This window comes from Homo sapiens, chromosome 10, assembly GCF_000001405.40.
Source record: "Homo sapiens chromosome 10, GRCh38.p14 Primary Assembly".
NCBI classification, from domain to species: domain Eukaryota; kingdom Metazoa; phylum Chordata; class Mammalia; order Primates; family Hominidae; genus Homo; species Homo sapiens.
Genome location: NC_000010.11, coordinates 128193128 through 128212770, shown reverse-complemented (window position 1 = coordinate 128212770; position 19643 = coordinate 128193128). Strand labels below are relative to the sequence as shown.

At 46.5% G+C, this 19643-nt stretch overlaps 6 annotated features.

Annotated features, from left to right (window-relative positions):
• Positions 604-753: a silencer, noted in NCBI's record as "silent region_2936". NCBI's record gives its function as "represses an Ori minimal core promoter by ATAC-STARR-seq in GM12878 lymphoblastoid cells {active_cell/tissue: GM12878}" and the evidence as "EXISTENCE:reporter gene assay evidence [ECO:0000049][PMID:35858748]".
• Positions 2083-2242: a silencer, noted in NCBI's record as "silent region_2935". NCBI's record gives its function as "represses an Ori minimal core promoter by ATAC-STARR-seq in GM12878 lymphoblastoid cells {active_cell/tissue: GM12878}" and the evidence as "EXISTENCE:reporter gene assay evidence [ECO:0000049][PMID:35858748]".
• Positions 2333-2522: a silencer, noted in NCBI's record as "silent region_2934". NCBI's record gives its function as "represses an Ori minimal core promoter by ATAC-STARR-seq in GM12878 lymphoblastoid cells {active_cell/tissue: GM12878}" and the evidence as "EXISTENCE:reporter gene assay evidence [ECO:0000049][PMID:35858748]".
• Positions 2722-3283: an enhancer, noted in NCBI's record as "H3K4me1 hESC enhancer chr10:130007752-130008313 (GRCh37/hg19 assembly coordinates)". NCBI's record gives its function as "activates a minimal SCP1, AML or CMV promoter by ChIP-STARR-seq in naive H9 embryonic stem cells {active_cell/tissue: H9 hESC(naive)}" and the evidence as "EXISTENCE:reporter gene assay evidence [ECO:0000049][PMID:30033119]".
• Positions 10147-10654: an enhancer, noted in NCBI's record as "NANOG-H3K27ac hESC enhancer chr10:130000381-130000888 (GRCh37/hg19 assembly coordinates)". NCBI's record gives its function as "activates a minimal SCP1, AML or CMV promoter by ChIP-STARR-seq in naive H9 embryonic stem cells {active_cell/tissue: H9 hESC(naive)}" and the evidence as "EXISTENCE:reporter gene assay evidence [ECO:0000049][PMID:30033119]".
• Positions 10655-11163: an enhancer, noted in NCBI's record as "NANOG-H3K27ac hESC enhancer chr10:129999872-130000380 (GRCh37/hg19 assembly coordinates)". NCBI's record gives its function as "activates a minimal SCP1, AML or CMV promoter by ChIP-STARR-seq in naive and primed H9 embryonic stem cells {active_cell/tissue: H9 hESC(naive and primed)}" and the evidence as "EXISTENCE:reporter gene assay evidence [ECO:0000049][PMID:30033119]".

Genomic DNA, 19643 nt, shown 5'->3' with positions numbered 1-19643 from the left:
AGGACGCTTCCTGCCTCTTCCAGCTCCTGGTGGCACCAGGAGCTCCCTGTCTTGTGGCCACACGACTCCAGTCTCTTCCTCCACCGTCACACAGCGTTCTCCCTGTGTGTCTCTGTGTCTTTGCAGGGCTGTCTTTTTATCAGGGCACCAGCCATTGGGTTAAGGACCCAGGGACCCACTCTACTCCCGTATGACCTCATCGTAACTAATTAAATTTGCAAACAACCTGCTCAAAACAAGGTCCCGTTCTGAGGTGCTGGCTTAGGACTCGGACATATCTTTAGAGGGGTGGGAGGGGAGATGCAATTCAACCCACAGCAAAGCAGTGGGGCTCTGGCTTGAATGCAGCCTCTGTCATGAGCGACCTGATTCCACCTCGCACCCTCCACTGATGTGAGCCATCTCTCCCTGGATGCTAGTTACAGCCTCAAAGAACGCCCCTTGGGGCTGCAGACAGAACTCCGCCCTCATGGAAGAAGCTGCCGGCAAGTGCTGGGCAGAGGGACTAGCTGGGAGGAAATGAAAGCAATTCCTCCAAGATGCTGTCCTCGGGGAGCAGCCTGGCCACCCTGCCTGAAATTGCTGCCGCTGACACCTGCAAGCAAGAAGCTCCTCCGGCCGGGGCTGGCTCCGCCCACTTCTCAGGCCCCGCTGGGCCTCCCGCGGCCGCAGACGCGCGCCCTCTGGCGGCCCCGTCTGGACGCACACGGCCTTGTCCATAGCCCGGGCTAGATGAACTCCCAGCCCCGCCGGCTGGTGACACAGGTGGCACCTCTGCCATCGTGGAAAACCTGCAAACTGACTTTTCAAACTAGCCACCCCGTCCCTCTCAGGCAATACCAAACAGCTGGTAATTCATGCAGAGCAAACTACCACGTCTTAATAACGGAGAAGAGCCCCGGCTCCTAAACGGGACTGTGGAAGGCCGACTCCCTGGGCCGCAGCAGCAGAATTTTATTTCTCAGGACTTTCATGGGCTCTCAATCAGGCCACCGCAGCCACCTCATACATCTTAATAAACCTTACATCAGAGAGAAAGCTTTGAAACGAAATTGTCCAGTAATACGCACTTTCCAATCGAAACACATGGGAGTCTTTAAATATTTACCGCACATAAATAAAGCATGCTATGTAGCTGGCGCTTCTTAGCACCTACGCATGCCACGTATCAATGGACGCTGGATGTCAATATTGATGTATAAATAATAATATTAAGCACAGAAATACACCGCGCCGGGAGAGGTCTAATCGCACTGTCCCCTGGAAATAAACGTTTCTCAGGGCTGTTTCTGAAGGTGGGATATTTGTCTCCCTCCTCACTTGACCCTGAGGGGATGGAGGGCAAGGTGGAGAATGCCCTGAGCAGACACCGGTGCACCGCAGTGCACAGCCAGGGGTGCCACTCCTCCACCTCCGGAGAGACCGGGCGAGGCATCCGCAACCGCGTCAGAGCCTGGCAGCGGCCTGGCAGCATCCCCTGCCCTGGGCCTCGCTAAGGTTCCATGAGGGGTGCGTGGAGCTGGAGAAGAAAGGTGCGAATTCTGCGCTTCCCCGAGGTAGCCCCGGGCGAGCAGGGGGCCAGCTCCAGAGCCTCGGGCCACTGCGCCATTCCTCCCCCTGCGGGAGCTGCTGCTCCAAGGCTGTCCCTGCTGCTCCCGGGGGAAAGGGCAGGGCCGCCGCGGTGGGCGCTGAGCAGGTGGGCTCCAGTCGCCCCTGACTCCCAGGCTGCGCTCCCTGCCAGGCCCGGAGGATGCGCCCGGGGGAGGCGCCCTGGAGGCCGCGCGGGCACCGGAAGCCTGGGGGTGGGCCCCACCCGCGGACAGGTCCTGCTCTTCAGGCTGAGAGTGTGGGCATCACCCGCGAAGACGCCCCGTGGGACAGCAGGGGCGCTGTTCACCCCACCTGTGGGATCGCAGCGGGGGTTGGAGGGAAGGGGGCGTCAGAGATCCCCGGGGCCCCAGGGGTGCCCGGGGCCCCGCGGGAACGCGCAACGCGGCGGGGCGGAGGTGGGGCGTGGCCGGGACAGGCAGGGGCCGCAGGAACTCGCCCCTTCCTCAGCAGTTTAGCCCGCGGAGAAGCGGCACCGCGCCCCCCACTGACGAGGAAACGGGGGCGCCTAAAGGCCCCGGGGTGCTCGCAGAGAAGCGCAGCGCTCCGCTCCCCGGGCCGCGCGGCCCAACCTCCGGAGGGACTGCCCGGGACGTGGACGTGGAGTCTCGCGGCCGCCCCTGGCCCGCGGCCACCCTCCCTGTGTGCTTGAGAAACGGAACCCAGAGGCCTGGCCCGCTCTAGTGGGAGCAGAGACGCCACCCGCGGGCGAGCGGAAGCCTCCCGTGTCCGTGTCCCCGTCCCCTCCCCGTCCCCGTCCCGTCCCCTCCCCGTCCCCGTCCCGTCCCCGCCCCGCCCGGGAAGGCGCGCTCGCCCTCTGGCGGCCGGCCCTGGAAGGGACGCCGTCCGCGGCCGGACTCCACTCCCGTCCATCAAACCAACAAGGTCAAATGCAATCTATTTGTAAAGGCCGCCTCTGATTACTGTGGCAACTGGAGACATCACTGAACCCAAAGTGTGATTAAGCTGCTCCTTGTTCCATATTAATTTGGGAAGGAAAACAGCTTCATTCTCGCTTTTCCACACTCCCTCCTCTGTGCAGGGCATGCCCTCGCTGGCGGGGCTTCCAAGCCCAGGCTCTCCTCCCACGCGGGCCCTGCGGGCTTCCGCAGGCAGCACGGGACAGGGCCGCAGACTCTCAGGCAGCCTGTGGTATGATGAACTGGTCTGCAAGCAAAGAGCCCACCTCCTCAATATTCGTGGGCACTTCCCTTTGAGGGAAGGTCCTGGGGCCGGGCTGCAGTTTCAGGCCCAGCGCAGCAGTCTGCTCCCCCAGGAGCTTGCGCAAAGCCCTTCAGCCCTGTGCCCTATTTCCTCAATGCAGAAGGACATAGAGCCCCACGGGACTATGTGAGAATTAAATGGGAGAATCCATGAAAGGCACTCTTTAAAAATAAACTTAAGGCCAGGCGCGGTGGCTCACACTTGTAATCCCAGCACTTTGGGAGGCCGAGGCGGGCAGATCAAGAGGTCAGGAGATCAAGACCATCCTGGCTAACACCGTAAAACCCCGTCTCTACTAAAAATACAAAAAATTAGCCGGGCGTGGTGGCGGGCGCCTGTAGTCCCAGCTACTCGGGAGGCTGAGGCAGGAGAATGGCGTGAACCCAGGAGGCGGAGCTTACAGTGAGCCGAGATCGCGCCACTGCATTCCAGCGACAGAGCGAGACTCTGTCTCAAAATAAATAAATTTAAAGTTTTTACTTAGAATGGTTTTATAGAAAAGTTGCAGGTAGTACAGAGGTTATCCTTCCCGTTGCCGACATCTTACATGAGTGTGGCACACCCCGCACCACCAGTGAGCCAATATTGATACACTATTATCAGCTGAAGCCCTTCGTTTATTCCCATTTTTTTTTTTTCATTTTTAACTAACGTCCTTTTCCTGCTCCAGGATCCCAGATCACATCTGGTCCTCCTGTTTCCCTAGGCTCTTCTTGGTGATGTCTTCTCTGACTTCCCTTGTTTTTAGTGACCTTGGCAGTTTTGAGGAGTACTAGTCAGCTGTTTTGTAGAATGTCTGTCAACTTGGGTTGGTTTTTCTGACGTTTTTCTGATGATTAGATTGGGGTTAAGGGGCTTGGGGTTCCGTTCACACGATATCATATCAACAGTGCATACTCTCAGCATGTCCACAGCATAGATCATTGTTGACCCTGATCGCCTGGTTGAGATAGTGTTTGTCAGGTTTCTCCGATGTAAAGTGACTCTTTTTCCCTCTTTCCAGGCTGTCCTCTCTGGAAGGAAGTCATTCTGCACAGCCCACACTTACTCAGCTGGGAGTTAGGCGGCACCTCCTGGAGGGTGGAGTGTCTACGTAGATTATTTAGAATTCTTCTGCAGGCAAGATGTGCCTTTCCTCCTCCATTTATTTAATCAGCCATCTATATCAGCATGGACTCATGGGTATTTGTTTTACACTTTAAGTCTTAATTCGGTGCTTTTTTTTATTGACTTGTTCTTAGCTTTGGCCATTGGGAGGTCTTTCAGTTCCTTCCTGTGTTCCTTTAACATAGCCTTAGCATTCTGCTTTTTGAGCACTGACTTCCTTCCTGGCACTACCAGATCCTCCAGGCTCGTCTTGTATATTTCCTGCCCCAGTCCCAGAATTGCCCATTGCTGTAAGCAACTCTGTTTCCCTTTATTGGAAAACGGTATTATAAACCAAGCTCTGGACACAGAGCATACTTGTTGCAATTGGGGGTCATTGCTTCAAGAGGGACTTTTAAAAATCTAGCACACACTAACTGCTCAATAATTGTTGGTTATCAATATTATTAGTACATAGTAGACATTGTACTAAGGGCAGGGGATGTAACTAGCATGTGGAATCAGTCCTCACTGTACTCACAGCCTGGGGGCAAATATGCACTTGTGAAAAACTCTGCTGCACTGTGAGAAGGGCTTTGATGGATACCCAAGGTGTTCAGGGGCACAATAAAGCGGCATTAGAAATGCCACAGAGGACCATGGATGTAAATTATCCTCCGCTGGACTGTTACATGAAAGAAGCAAGCTAAACAATAACATGAATTGTATGATCCCAACTTTGTCATATAAATGAGTGTGTGTGTGTGTGTGTGTGTGTGTGTGTGTGCATTCCAGGAGGTAATTTTTATTTCTAGTATTGTATAGTATGTGGAAGTAACTGGTATAGTTGCCGTGATATGCACTATCCTTACCTCTGAGTGGTGGTATTATAGGTAAGTTCTATGTATTCCTTTTTGTGCTTATCTAAATTTTCTGAAATAAATTCATGAGTATGTCCAACTTCTTTAAACGAATGTTTGGAAGCTAGAAGAAAGGAGCTGGTTTGCTTTCTAGCCAGAAGGTTCCACGGGTCCCTTCTGAGATGCCAGGCAGACCCACGGGAGGGGGCAGGGAGCTGTGGGTATTGGTGGCCGGTGTCTCTGGCACCTGCAGGCCATGCTGCCCGCCGCCCGCCTGGGTGAGTGACGGGGTTGGTGATCTTTGGGGACAGACAGCCACACTGGGGGGGATACTGAGACTCAGTGAGGACTGGGGGTTTTTGTATAAATGTATGGGGTTCGAGTGCAATTGTTACATGCATTAATTGCATTGTGATCAAGCCAGGGCTTTTAGGGTAGCCAGCACCCGAATAACATGCATTGCACCCATTAAGTAATTTTTCATCTTCCACCCTGTCCCACTTCTCACCCTTCCAAGTCTCTGTTGTCTATCTAATTGCTGTTTTGTTCACTGCTATCTGCAGGGCAGAGGGTAGGTGCTCAACAAATTTCTTTAAATGAATTTGTTTGAGAACCACTAAAATGCTGGTACTTGCAAAGTCATAATCAGAAATGTGAATTTTGCTTTTGAGCCAAGAGGACTGTTCTCATCATCTTTCATTTATCATCGTCTGAGTCAAGTTCTTTGTCGCCCTCCCACCAGGCCCATTCTTGGAATTCTGGGGGTTCTGGGGCCTTCTGCAAATCTGGAGCCAAGACCCTATGATGCCCAGGGGAAGGGTGCCTGCACTTGCTGCCCCTTCCATCCTTCCCTGCCCTTGGTGTTCAGCCCTTGGCCCCAACCACATACTCAGTGTGACTCTGGACTCCAGGTGGCCTGCCCTGGGGACAAACAAAGCCTTTCAAGTGGCCAGGCCTGGAACTAAGGGTCCACCCTGCTCAGGCCTGGCCAGCAGCCTCACCCACCTCACTGGAGAGGACTCAAGCCCCCACTGGAGCTGCTATCCATCTCTAGTGACAAACCTGGGGGCAGGGCTAAGGCCAGGAGCCGGCAGTGCTGAGAGTCTAATGGAGGGCATGGCGGAAGGTCCTATGCAGCAGGGGCCCCAAGGAGTGGGGACTGCAAGGTCGGACTGGGGTTCAGAAGAGAACTGGTCCCACCAGGGAAATATGACTCACCAGGGCACAACAATGGGTGACTCACCTGGGGACCCTTTGGGAGACAAGCTTGGGAATGTACCGATGGGGTGTTCTGCACAGCTTTGTGAGCACCAAACTTAGGTACAAAGGTAATTTCTGAGCCTAAGGAGGGATGGGGATGAGCCCCACTTGACTTGTGGGGTCCAAGCCTGTGAGATGGGGGTCTGCAGGACAACCAGCCAGGAGGAGGCCCTGAGCTGACCCACAGGGTGCCTCAGGACAGCTTTGGGGGACAGTCCTATGCACTCAGGATAAGTGCTCCCCGTGTGAGATGACACCACCCAGAGCTAGGTTATTTTGCAGGATCTTTTCACATGAGCAGCAAAAGCATTTCAGACTCATGCTTTTCACTAACCTCCTTATCCACTCACCTTGTTTCTTCAGATCCCATAGAGAATCCTTTAAAATCTCACTATGCCCCAGGGACAAAGTGCTCAGCACAGTGCACCACCACACACATTTGCGTTGCTCAGAATCCAAGGGACACAAAAGAGAGACTCATTGGCCAGGTTGGACACACAGCATTAGGCTTCCAGCCCCTGTCTTGGAGTCCCCCCGCCAGAAGGCCCAGACTATCTCCTGTTTGAGACCAACACCCTCCCCGCCCCTAGTCCCATCACTGGAGCTCAGTAAGGCATAATTTATTTCACTTTTATTAGTTTGCTTTTTCTGATTGCTAAAGACATTAACTCCCATGTTTGTGGCAGATTTTTTTTTCACTCTTATGATTGACACTCTTAATTTGGCTTGTTATTTCTGAGGTATACAAGTTTTAAAATTTTTATAGCCAAATTTATTGGCCTTTTTTGTTTTTTGAAACAGGTTCTCACTCTGTCGCCCAAGCTGGAGTGCAGTGGCATGATCACAACTCACTGCAGTCTCAACCTCCTGGGCTCAAGTGATCTTCCCACCTCACCCTCCTAAGTAGCTGGGACTAAAGGCATGAGCCGCCACACCTGGCTAATTTTTGTATTTTTTGTAGAGACCAGGTTTTGCCATGTTGCCCAGGCTGGTCTCCAATTCCTGAGCTCAAGCAACTTGCCATCCTTGGCCTCACAAAGTGCTGGGATTACAGGCGTGAGCCACTGCACCCAGCCTGACCTTTTCTTTATGATTTCTTTTACTACACAGAAAGTCAGCTTTCCTATGGGAAAATACAATAAAATTCATTTCACTCATTCACGTAATACACATATATTAATTCTAGGGGGATTAATCTAAATGTTTTTAAAATTAAAAATATGTACAAAACAGAAAGGAAAACATTTACATTGCTTGGTGTAGGGAAGTTCCTCTCAAAATAAATAATACTCAAAATAGATAAAACTTCATTAGAATAAAACAATGGATTTGGTCACATAAACTTCTAAATGGCAAAAGGCACTCTATCTACATATATTACCAACAATGAGCTAAAATCTATTCTACATAAGGCACCATTACAAGTAAATAAGAAAAAGACAGGCTGGGCACAGTGGTTCACATCTGTAATCCCTGCACTTCAGGAGGCTGAGGCAAGAGGATAGCTTGAGCCCAGGAGTTCAAGACCAGCTGGGCAATATAGTGAGACCTTGTCTCTGCAAAAACTAAAAAATATATTAGCCAGGCATGGTGGCACACACCTGCAGTCCCAGCTACTGGTGAGGTTGTGATGGGAGGACTGCTTGAGCCCCAGAGGTTGAGGCTACAGTGAGCCAAGATTGTGAGCCACTGCACCTCTGCCTGGGCAACAGAGTGAGACTAAGTCTCAAAAACATATTGAAAAGGCCAGGCATGGTGGCTCATGCCTGTAATCCCAGCATTTTGGGAAGCCAAGGTGGGTGGATCACGAGGTCAGGAGATGAAGACCATCCTGGCCAACATGGTGAAACCCCATCTCTACTAAAAATACAAAAAAGCTGGGCATGGTGGCATATGCCTGTAATCCCAGCTACTCAGGAGGCTGAGGCAGGAGAATCGCTTGAACCAGGGAATCAGAGGTTGCAGTGAGCCAAGATCACACCACTGCACTCCAACCTGGCTACAGAACGAGACTCCATCTCAAAAAATAAAAAATAAAAAAATTAAATTTAATTTAAAAAATAAGGGACAAAGGCATGTAAATGATATGGGCAAGGTATTCATAGAAGGAATTTAACTGGTTTAAAATGTTCAGCCATACAAGTTAATTAGGAAAAATGCAATAAAAACAAAAATATATTGGCACTTTACTATCTACCAGTTGGCAAAAAATTGAGACTATCTTTTGTTGGTGACAGTATAAAGGAACATGAACATTCATACAGTGATGAGAGGAATTTAAGTCAATATCACCTTTGTAGAGAAATTTACAATAGCTATTAATATTTTGAATGAATACATCATTAGACCCAGCAATTACAAAGCTAGAGATGTTTTCTATTTAAATACTTGCACGTTGCAAAAAAATATCTAACAGGATGCCCACTGAAGCACTACTTGTAATTGAAGAAACATGGAAATAACCTAAATGTACATTTTGAGGATGGTTTAAATAATTTATAGTACTATATTCTATAGAATGTTCTGCTTTTAATAAAAGAAATAAAAGATATCCATATGTCCTAAAAAGGAAAAGTATTTATAAAATGTTAAGTGGTGGGGAGGGGATGGGGGAAATAAGTTGTAGAATAATATATATTTTTGTGTTAGAGTTTTTTTTTTAATGTCTTCTATTTGTACCTCATTTCTTCTTTCTTGTTAGTTAATGAAAATTGCAAGGGTGTTAATTTACTTTTGCTTTCTGCTTGGGGATAAACTGACATTTTTATGCATAAAAGTCTTATTTTAATTATTTTCTTTATTTCCATGTTTAATTATATTTTATTTTCTCTTTGATAATTTTTATTTAAGAAAGTGACTTTTAATGTTCTGATTAGTATGTTGGAAGAGTTTTTTGTTTGTTCAAAGGTGTATCCATAATTTCCAGTTTATTGGGTCCTAATTAGAGAATGTGGCCTGGTCAGTTTCTACTTCTGGGAACTTTCTGAGATTTTCTTTGAGTGCTGGTGTATTAGTCCATTCTCACACTGCTATAAAGACATATCTGAGACTGGGTAAGTTATAAAGAAAATAGGTTTAATTGTCTCGTGGTTCTGTGGGCTGCAGAGGCTTCTGCTTCTGGAGAGGCCTCAAGAAACTTACAATCATGGTGGAAGGCAAAGGGAAAGCAGGCACATCTTCACATGGCTGGCAGAAGAGAGAAAGAGAAAGCAAGAAAGAGAGAAAGAGAGAGAAGTGCTACACACTTTCAAACAACCAGATCTCATGAGAATTCACTCACTATCACAGGTACAGCAAGAGGGAAATCTGCCCCCATGATCCAATCACCTCCCACCAGGTTTCTCCCCCAACACTGGGGATTACAATTCAGCATGAGATTTGGGTGGGGGTGCAGAGCCAAACCATATCATTCTGCCCCTAGACACTCCCAGATTTCATGTTCTTCTCACATTTCAAAACACAATCATGCCATCCCAACAGTCACCCAAAGTCTGAACTCATTCCAGCATTAACTCAAAAGTCCAAGTCCAAAGTCTCATTTGAGACAAGACAAGTCCCTTCTGCCTATAATTCTGTAAAATCAAAACAAGGTACTTCTAAGATACAATGGGGATACAGGCATTGGGTAAATGCTCCCATTCCAAAAGGGAGGAATTGGCCAAAACAAAGGGACTGCAGGCCCCATGCAAGTCCAAAACCCAACAAGGCAATCATTAAATCTTAAAGCTCCAAACTAATCTCCTTTGACTCCATGTTTCATATCAAAGCCACACTGACAGAAAAGGTGGGCTCCCAAGGCCTTACACACCTCTGCCCCTGTGGCTCTGGAGGGTACAGTCCCTGAGGCTGCTTTCATGATCTGGCATTGAGTGCCTGTGGTTTTTCCAGGTGCACAGTGAAAGCTGTCAGTGAATCTAACATTCTGGGGTCTGGAGGATGGTGGCCCTCTTTTCACACCTTCACCAGGCAGTTCCCCAGTGGTAACTCTGTGTGGGAGCTCCAACCCCATATTTCCCCTTTGCACTGCCCTAGTGGAAGTGCTCCATGAGGGCTCTGCCCCTGCAGCAGACTTCTGCCTGGACATTCAGGCATTTTTATACATCCTCTGAAATCTAGGCAGAGGTTCCTGATATGGTTTGGCTGTGTCCACACCCAAATCTCATGTTAATTGTAACTCCCACAATTCCCACATGTCATGGGAGGAACTAGGCAGGAGGTGATTGAATTATGGGAGCAGGTCTTTCTTGCACTGTTCTCACGATAATGAATAAGTCTCATGAGATCTGATGGCTTTAAAAACGGGAGTTTCTCTGCACAAACTCTCTCTTTGCCTGCTGCCATCCATGTAAGATATGACTTGCTCCTCCCTGCCTTCTGCCATGATCATGAGGCCTCACCAGCCACATGGAACTGTAAGTCCATTAAACCTCTTTCTTTTGTAAATTGCCCAGTCTCCAGTCTCATACTACTCTTTATCAGTAGTGTGAAAATGGACTAATACAGCTCCCACGCTTCAACTCAACCTCTGCACATTCTCAGGCTTAACACCACATAGAAGCCACCAAGGCTTCTGGTTTGCACCCTGTGGAGCAACAGCCTGAGCTGTACCTTGGCCCCTTTTAGCCAGGGCTGGAGCTGGAGCAGCTGGGAAGCAGGGCACAATGTCCCAAGGCTGCACAGAGCAGTGGGGTCCTGGGCCTGGCCTACAAAACCATTTTTCCCTCCTAGGCCTCCAGGAGGTCTAGGTGGGAGGGGCTGCCACAAAGGTCTCTGAAATGCCTTGGAGGCATTTTCCCCATTGTCTTTGCTATTAACATTTGGCTCCTCTTTACTTATGCAAATTTCTGCAGCTGGCTTGAATTCCTCCACAGAAAATGGGCTTTTCTTTTCTACCACATGGCCGCACTGCAAATTTTCCAACTTTTATGCTCTTCTTCCCTTTTAAATATAAGTTCCAATTTCAGATCATCTTTTTGCAAACATATATGAGCATACACTGTTACAAGCAGCCAGGCCATGTCTTGAATGCTTTGCTGCTTAGAAATTTTGTCTGCTCAATACCCTAAATCATCTCTCTCAAGTTCAAAGTTCAACAGATCCCTAGAGCAGGGGCACAATACCGTCAGTCTCTTTGCTAAACCATAGCAAGAGTGGCTTTTACTCCAGTTCCCAATAAGTTCATCATCTGTATCTGAGACCTCAGCCTGGACTTCACTGTCGATATCATTACCAGCATTTTGGCCACAACAGTTCTACAAGTCTCTAGGAAGTTCCAAGCTTTCCCTCACCTTCCTATCTTCTTCTGAGCCCTCCAAACTGTTCCAACCTCTGCCTGATCCCCAGTCCTAAAGTCATTTCCACATTTTCAGGTATCTTTATAGCAATGCCCCACTTCTCTGATACCAATTTTCTGTATTGGTCCATTTTCACACAGCTATAAAGAACTACTTGAGATTGGGTAATTTATTTAAAAAGAGATTTAATCAGCTCATGATTCTGAGGGCTATACAGGGTTCTGCTTCTGGGGAGGCCTCAGGAAACTTACAAACATGGCAGAAGGTGAAGGGGAAGCAGGCACATCTTCATATGACTGGAAGGAGAGAGAAAGAAAAGTGCCACACACTTTCAAACAACCAGATCTCATGAGAACTCACTCACTATAACAAGAACAGCAAGGGGAAAATCCACCTCCATGATCCAATCACCTCCCACCAGACTCCTCCCCCAACATTGGAGATTACAATTCAACATGAGATTTGGGTGGGGACACAGAGCCAATCCGTATCAGCTGGTATACATATTGTGTATGTTTGATGAGTTCTTGAAGACATGATGTACACTCTATAAGTTGCATCAGCACCCAAATCATTACATCCTCATCGATTACATTACAGAATCTTCTACATCTTCATTCATTTCTTACCTCCTTGTTCTACCACAGACCATAGACCCAGCAAAGGCATGCTAAGTTTTCCCATAAATGTCATGTTCTGTTCATCTCTCACATTCTCCTATTCTCATGGAAATGTCTTGAGTCCATTTCATAAAGGTCATAGTCTTTCACAAGTTTTTGAGCATGATAAGCATTAGATTTCTAAATTTTTACCTGTTTCTTATGGGAAATACTTGTAAGAGGAAGGCTTTTACTTTAAAACTTCCTGATACCCTATCCTGCAAAGATGTTCAAATAGCCTAAATTGTTTTGCTTTTGTTTCCTGTTTTCTGGGTAAGGGAACTTCTGACCACTGCTGGCACACATGAGCGTCACCCATTCTGTCCCCTCTTGTCATTTTTCCCTCTGGCTGCATCAGGTGGGCATCTGGGCTCCCGTAAATGGGAAAGGCAAGTGGTTGAGCATGAACCAGCTCAGTGGCCAGAGCCCCACCAGTGACATTTGGGCTACTCTGCTGAATTCTTCCTGGGAGAGCTGCCCAGAGTGTCTGTTGGGATCTCCCAGCAGGCTTGAGATGGATGCAGTTTGCCTTCCTCTTCAGTGTGAGGAGGAAGAATGATCCATTTATACCTGTATCCACTCATTTGTGCAAAAAGAAACAGGAAAGATCAACCAGAAATGAATGAGATTCATACCTGCAGGGCAGTAGGAAGGAAAGAGGTAGAAATGATACGAACAGGGGTAAGGGAAAGAAATAAAGGACACTTCTCTGAGGATGATATTTGCATAGTTCTGGCTTTTAGAACCATGTTAGTTCACATACTCAAAAAAAAATTTAACGAACAAGAGAAGGGGGGCACTCAAAATGGAATTCAAACAGAAACAAGTGAACCTAAATGTACTTCAAATAAAAAACATAAGCACACTGAAGAAAGCAAAAAAGAACTTAAAATGACTTCTGAGCACAGCATTGTATTCACACTTTAGCACTTCAGGCTAAAATCAAAACAAAAAAAGCTGTAGAAAATAAAGATTGAACTCCAATTAGTCAATTTGTCTTTCATAGTGGTATAGGTTGGCAATTCCAAAAATACTTTATGTATATTTTAGAATTGAGCAGAGAGGTAAATATATAGTGAATATTGAGAGCCAAGTTCTTCACTATTGAGAAACAAAGTTATAAAAGTGGAAAAGAGGAAAGTTAGAATGAACCCCATGATGTTGGATTAAAATTGGAGGTATCAGCATGGATGGAAAGACAGACAGATACACACACACACACACACACACACACACACACACACACACACACATACATTTCCTAGCCCTGTCTGCTGATGAGGAAATAGCTGTAATGGGCACACCTAGGGCCCAGATCTTGATTTCTAATTACCATTCTCCAATAAAAGGAACCAGGGCTCCTTGGAGAAACGAGTGATTTCCAGGAGAATACAGGAAAAGGCAAAATAAACCTAGAATATCATGTTGTGCCAGAAATTATGGAACGTTCAAAGAAAGATGGGAGCATGTCAAAAGGACACAGGAGCTGGCATGAAGGAGGTTCCAACAACCTAATCTGGGACACTTTGAACACCAAAATAAATCATGGCAGCAACAGGTTATAGTCCACAGAATGCAGTAAGAATCCATGAGTCCATACAGAGATAGGTACATTTAAAATAATAAAGAGAAAGGAGGAAAAGCTCTTTCTTACAGTCAAATCCTAAGTCAATGTAAAAGGAATGATGGTGTTTTTTAAAAAAATCTCCATTGGGCAACGTCATCATAATTGTTTCAGGCAAGAAATATCAATGGGCAATAAAGCTAGCAGGTAAGAATATCATAAGAAAAAGGTAATTATGGAGTTTCCAAGAACCACCCCCAAGACACTTAATACTTACAAATAACTAAATAGAAATAACTTTACAGTAGAGAACCCTGGCATATCCTACCCTAACCAGGTGGAAGTTCACATCACCAGTAAAGAGACAAATAGGGGCCAGGCATGGTGGCTCATGCCTGTAATCCCAGTATGTATATATATATATATATATATATATATATATATATATATATATATATACTGTAATCCCAGTATATATATATATATATATATACTGTAATCCCAGTATATATATATATATATATATATACTGTAATCCCAGTATATATATATATATGTGTGTGTGTGTGTGTGTGTGTGTGTATATATATATATACACATATATATATACACACACATACACAAAAATTGGGAGGCTGAGGTGGGAGGATTACTTGAGTCCGGGAGGTGGAGGTTGCAGTGAGCCAAGATCATGTCACTGCACTCCAGCCCAGGCAACAGATTGAGAACCATTAAGTAAAATAACTAGCCTGCCTCCCCCTCCTCAAAACCATCAAGGTCATGAAACACAAAGCGAGCCAAGAAGCCATTCTAGGTTAAAAAGAGTCTGGGGAGTCCAGGCGTGGTGGCTTATGTCTGTAATCCCAGCAGTTTGGGAGGCTGAGGTGGGTGGATCACAAGGTCAGGAGTTCAAGACCAGCCTGGCCAACGTGGTGAAACCCCGTCTCTACTAAAAATACAAATATTAATTGGGCATGGTGGCAGGCACCTGTAATCTCAGCTACTCAGGAGGCTGAGGCAGGAGAATTGCTTGAACTCAGGAGGCAGAGGTTGCAGTGAGCTGAGATTGTGCCACTGCATTCCAACCTGGGCGATAGAGCAAGACTCCATCTCAAAAAAAAAAAAAAAAAATGAGTCTGGGGAAGCAGGACAAGTAAATACAGTGTGTGACTCTTGACTGGCTCATGGGGGAAGGGGCAAAAAGAGATTGTTGTAAAGGACACTGGCAGGACAACCGGTGGAATCTGAGCGAGGTCTATAGATTAGATACATTATGGTAGCAGCACTGACTTCCTTATTTTGTTCATTGTACCATGATTATATATGAAAATTCTTGTTTTTATAAAATATACACTGAAATATGTAGGGAAAGAGACATTCTGTCTGCAATTTACTCTAAATGGTAATGAGTAAGATGTCTATACAGAACAATAAAGCAAATGTAAATATTAACATTTGGGGATTTTTGAGTGAAGGTATCTGTGTTATCTCTGCAACTTTCCCGTGAATCTAAAATTATTCCAAAAAGAAAGTTGTTGAAACTGCAAGTATCCCCACATGTGGTATATAACAAGAGAACTAACATCATTCAGGCTTGCAAGCTAACCCCCTAAAAATGAACTGGTTCTTCTCATAGGGTCTCTTTAGGAGAGAGGAGTCCTAGGAGCTTCAGTTTACTGGAAAGGCCCTGTGAAAATGTCTCAGTAGAATCTCCTAGAGCTTGCCAAGAATACCCAGCTGTCCTGTTCAGCAGCACCCACAGCCCCGTGCCTCAAGAGGCTCATTGGAAATTCAGTGAACTCCCTGTAAGAGTCTAAAGGGAATGAAAGCACAATACAAGGGAAGCTGTCTACATATTTAAGATCAGTCATATCATCCTCCTATTTTTTCTTTCAGAATGTTTCCTTCCATCTCCTTGAGCAGCTTCTCACCCTCAGCACTGCTGACATCTTGGGCCAGGTGATGTTTGCTGTGGGGACTGTCCTATACATTGTAAGATGTGGCAGCTCCCGGGGCCTTACCCACCAGATGCAAATAGGGGCAAAATCTGCCCTGGTGGAGACCCACTGCTGTAGAGCCACCATTTCGGCAATGTTGTGATACGGATCCAAACTCATTTCACACTTGGAAATGTTTCCTAAGTACATGACTTTCCTGTTGATGTTCTAACATTGTGAAAATCTGAGACAGTGCCTGCCATTATTTTGAGATGCAATTTTTGGGTTGTTTTTTGTTTGTTTGTTGTTTATTTGTTTTTCTTTTGAGATGGAGTCTCGCTGCAATGCCCAGGCTGGAGTGCAATGGCGCGATCTCGGCTCACTGCAACCTCCACCTCCTAGGTTCAAGCAATTCTTCTGCCCCAGCCTTCCAAGTAGCTGGGACTGTAGGTGCGTGCCACCACACCCAACTGATTTTTGTATTTTTAGTAGAGATGGAGCTTCACCATATTGGCCAGACAGGTCTCAAACTCCTGATCTCAAGTGATCCACATGCCTCCCAAAGTGCTGGGATTACAGGCATGAGCCACAGCACCCAGGCTTGTTTTGGTATTTTTTTTGGACATTTATTGATAACTTAGTAAGTACCAATCAATGTACTAAGCACTTTACATGCATTTTTCTCTTTTGATTCTCAAATCACATCTAGGAGACTTAGCGTGTGTTCTAAGCCTTGCCAGAAAACAACCAAACGTTAGTTAAAAGCAATTTCTATACATGCCTACACCTACCCCCAAGCAGGCCCTTGCAAAGTTCCTGGAGGCATGGCTGGCTCTGAGACACATATATAACCCTGAAGCCTGAAGTAGCAAAGCCCACAGTACCACCAAAAATGTAACCAAAATGCAATGTGTCCCTACAGATAAAGAAATGCCTCTTCACTAGTAGTGAACACAATTGATTATCTACTATGTTCCTGTACCATCTTTTGACTTTTTTTAGAAGACAGACAGAAAGCTAGCTAGCGATTGTCATTTGCAAAGATGAAAATAAATTTGCAAGGAATTGTTGTTAGTGTAAAGCAGAGGTCAGCAAACTTTCTCTGTCAAGGGCCAAATAGTAAATATTTTCAGCTTTGCAGGCCATAGAACCTCCATTCCAAAAACTTACCTCTGCCACTGCAGTATGAAAGCAGCTACAAGCAATATGTAGATGCATAAAAATTACACCAAGAAGTAGCACATGTCACCAAATATTGTTCTTTTGATTTTTTTTCCCAATAATTTAAATATTAGTCTTAGCTTGCAGGCAGTACAACAACAGGCAGCAGGCTAGATTTGGCCCAAGAATCATAGTTTGCTGAACCCTGGTTTCATAATAGCAAAGACATGGACTCAGCCTAGGTGCTCATCAACAGTGGACTGGATAAAGAAAATGTGCTACGTATACACCATGGAATACTACACAATCATTAAAAAGAATGAAATCATGTCATTTGCAGCAACATGGATGCAGCTGGAGGCCATTATCTTAAGTGAATTAACGCAGGAATAGAAAACCAAAAACCGCATATTCTTACTTAGGGAGCTAAACATTGAGTACACATGGACACAAAGATGGGCACAATAAACACTGGAGACTACTAGAGAGGGAGGAAGCACTTTGGGAGGCCGAGGTGGGTAGATCACCTGAGGTCAGGGGTTCGAGACCAGCCTGGCCAACATGGCAAAACCCCCATCTCTCTTAAAAATACAAAAATTAGCTGGGCGTGGTAGCACATGCCTGTAATCCCAGCTACTTGGGAGGCCGAGGCAGGAGAATCGCTTGAACCTAGGAGGCAGAGGTTGCAGTGAGCCCAAACCATGCCACTACACTCTAGCCTGGGTGACTGAGTGAGACTCCAGCTCAAAAAAAAAAAAAAAAAAAAAAAAAAAAGAGGGGTAGGAGGAAGAGGAGTGTGGGCTGAAAAACTACCTATGAGGTCCTATGCCCACTACCTGGGTGATGGGACCCGTAAGCCAAACCTCAGCATCATGCAATACACCCTGTAACAAACCTGCATCAACCTCCTGGATCCAAAATTTAAAAAATAAAATAAAGTAAGAAACGTCTTAATCCCAACCAAGCTGGGAGGGACCCTGGACACCAGCTCAAATTAAGAATAAAGAAGTAGAAGTCGGACTCAGAAAGAAATGAACAAATGCACCTATTCCCATCACACGAGAGGCTTGCAAAGAAAACACTTCACATATTTGGAATGTGAAAATCAGAAAACACTCAGGGTCAGCATGCCCTGCCCCATTAACTGCTGTCCACACAAATGAGTTTACCTCGGGCTGATCTGAACAAGCCAAACGCCCTCTTTCCAAGTGCATTAATCACTAAGGCTGCTCTCTGAGCAGGTGAATTGGTTTTACCAGCAAAACGCACGTGTAAGCCCCTTTCTGACTGAGCACCGAGCTGGATTCTGGGGAGAAAATCTCACCTCCAATTCCTGCTCTCCAGAGGGGGAGGTAGGTGTTCCAGCTCACAGTAGACAAGGCTCAGGTAGACAACCACTGCAGTAACAATACGCAGACGCCAACCCGCTGCCAGGAAGTCATATTGGATGTGATTCGGAACACGGGCAGATGCACAGTGAGCATTGTGCACGCAGTGCTGTTCCCACTTAAGTGAACAGCAGTCAGAATCTTCTAAAGGTGCCAAGAAGTAAAGGAGGGGCCAGGCGCGGTGGCTCACGCCTGTAATCCCAGCACTTTGGGAGGCCGAGGCGGGCGGATCACGAGGTCAGGAGATGGAGACCATCCTGGCTAACACAGTGAAACCCCGTCTCTACTAAAAATACAAACAATTAGCCGGGCGAGGTGGCGGGCGCCTGTAGTCCCAGCTACTCCGGAAGCTGAGGCAGGAGAATGGCGTGAACCCGGGAGGCGGAGCCTGCAGTGAGCCGAGATCGCGGCACTGCACTCCCGCCTGGGAGACAGCGAAACTCCGTCTCAAAAAAAAAAAAAAAAGTAAAGGAGGGAAATGCAGTATTCAAACTTGCTATGACAATGGAAGCTGCCTTTAAAAACAAGGGGAAATTCCTGCAATGTAGAATCCCTAGATACAATGCAGCCTGCTTTTTGTCCAGAAAGGAAACAACTGGAAAACGGAAATAATCATGTTTTCCTTCTGTAGGTGCTGCTGCTGTATGAGATGCTTCTCCAACACCAAGAAGCACTCTAATAATCCTAGTAGACTCTAATAATAACTTATTCACAAACTCCAACCAGTATGGGCCTTGCCAGGCCCCATGAGAAGTACTTGGCTACATTATCTCACCCAGTCCTCATAGCTCTGTGAGACCAATGCTTCATAAGCCGCATTTTTACAGATAGGGGCCCCCAAGTTAGAAGTCAACTCACTCACTTGAGATCCCACAGCCAGAAGTTAAGCCAGAATTCACACAAGGGCTGCCAGGCTCAGAGCCTCTGTCCTCAATCCCTGTTCTACCCAGCCTATGGCAGCAGACACCTGTAACTTACGCTTCATCGGGGATTGGATTTGATTTAGGGGATTGTTGGTGTTAAATACATTTCATTTTCCTTTAATAAATGCAAAATAGTAATAAGTATTTATGATGACTCTCAGCTACCAGGGTATTCCATCAGCTGCAACTGGCCATGAACCAACCCTCTGTCCCTTCACACAGCAACATTCATTCAACCCCATGTCTCAGTACTAGGGAAATGGAAAGACGGTCATTGATCCTCAAGGACATCCCATTTAGAAGAAGAAAAGACAGGAAATCACTTCCAACATGGTGTGTTACTGTCAGGCCAATAATGTCCAGAACGGTAAAAGTATAAAGAAAAACTAACCCAACCCAGAGAAGTGTCAAGGAAAGCAAGATAGAAGAGGCGAGGCTTGAGTGCTTACTGAGGAACAAGTAACAGTTTGCCAGAATGAGAAGGTGAGAAGGACGCCCCAGTCAGAGGGGCCATCTGGAAAAAGCATGGCTGCTTCTGAAATCCCCCAGGGTGTGGCTGCAACATGGATGTCTATGGGGGCATCATCCAGATGCAGAGGAAGAGGGAGCCACATGGAAACACCCAACTTGTCATTTTGGAACTTGAACTTTATCCAGAAGCTTCCCAGGAGCCACTGGA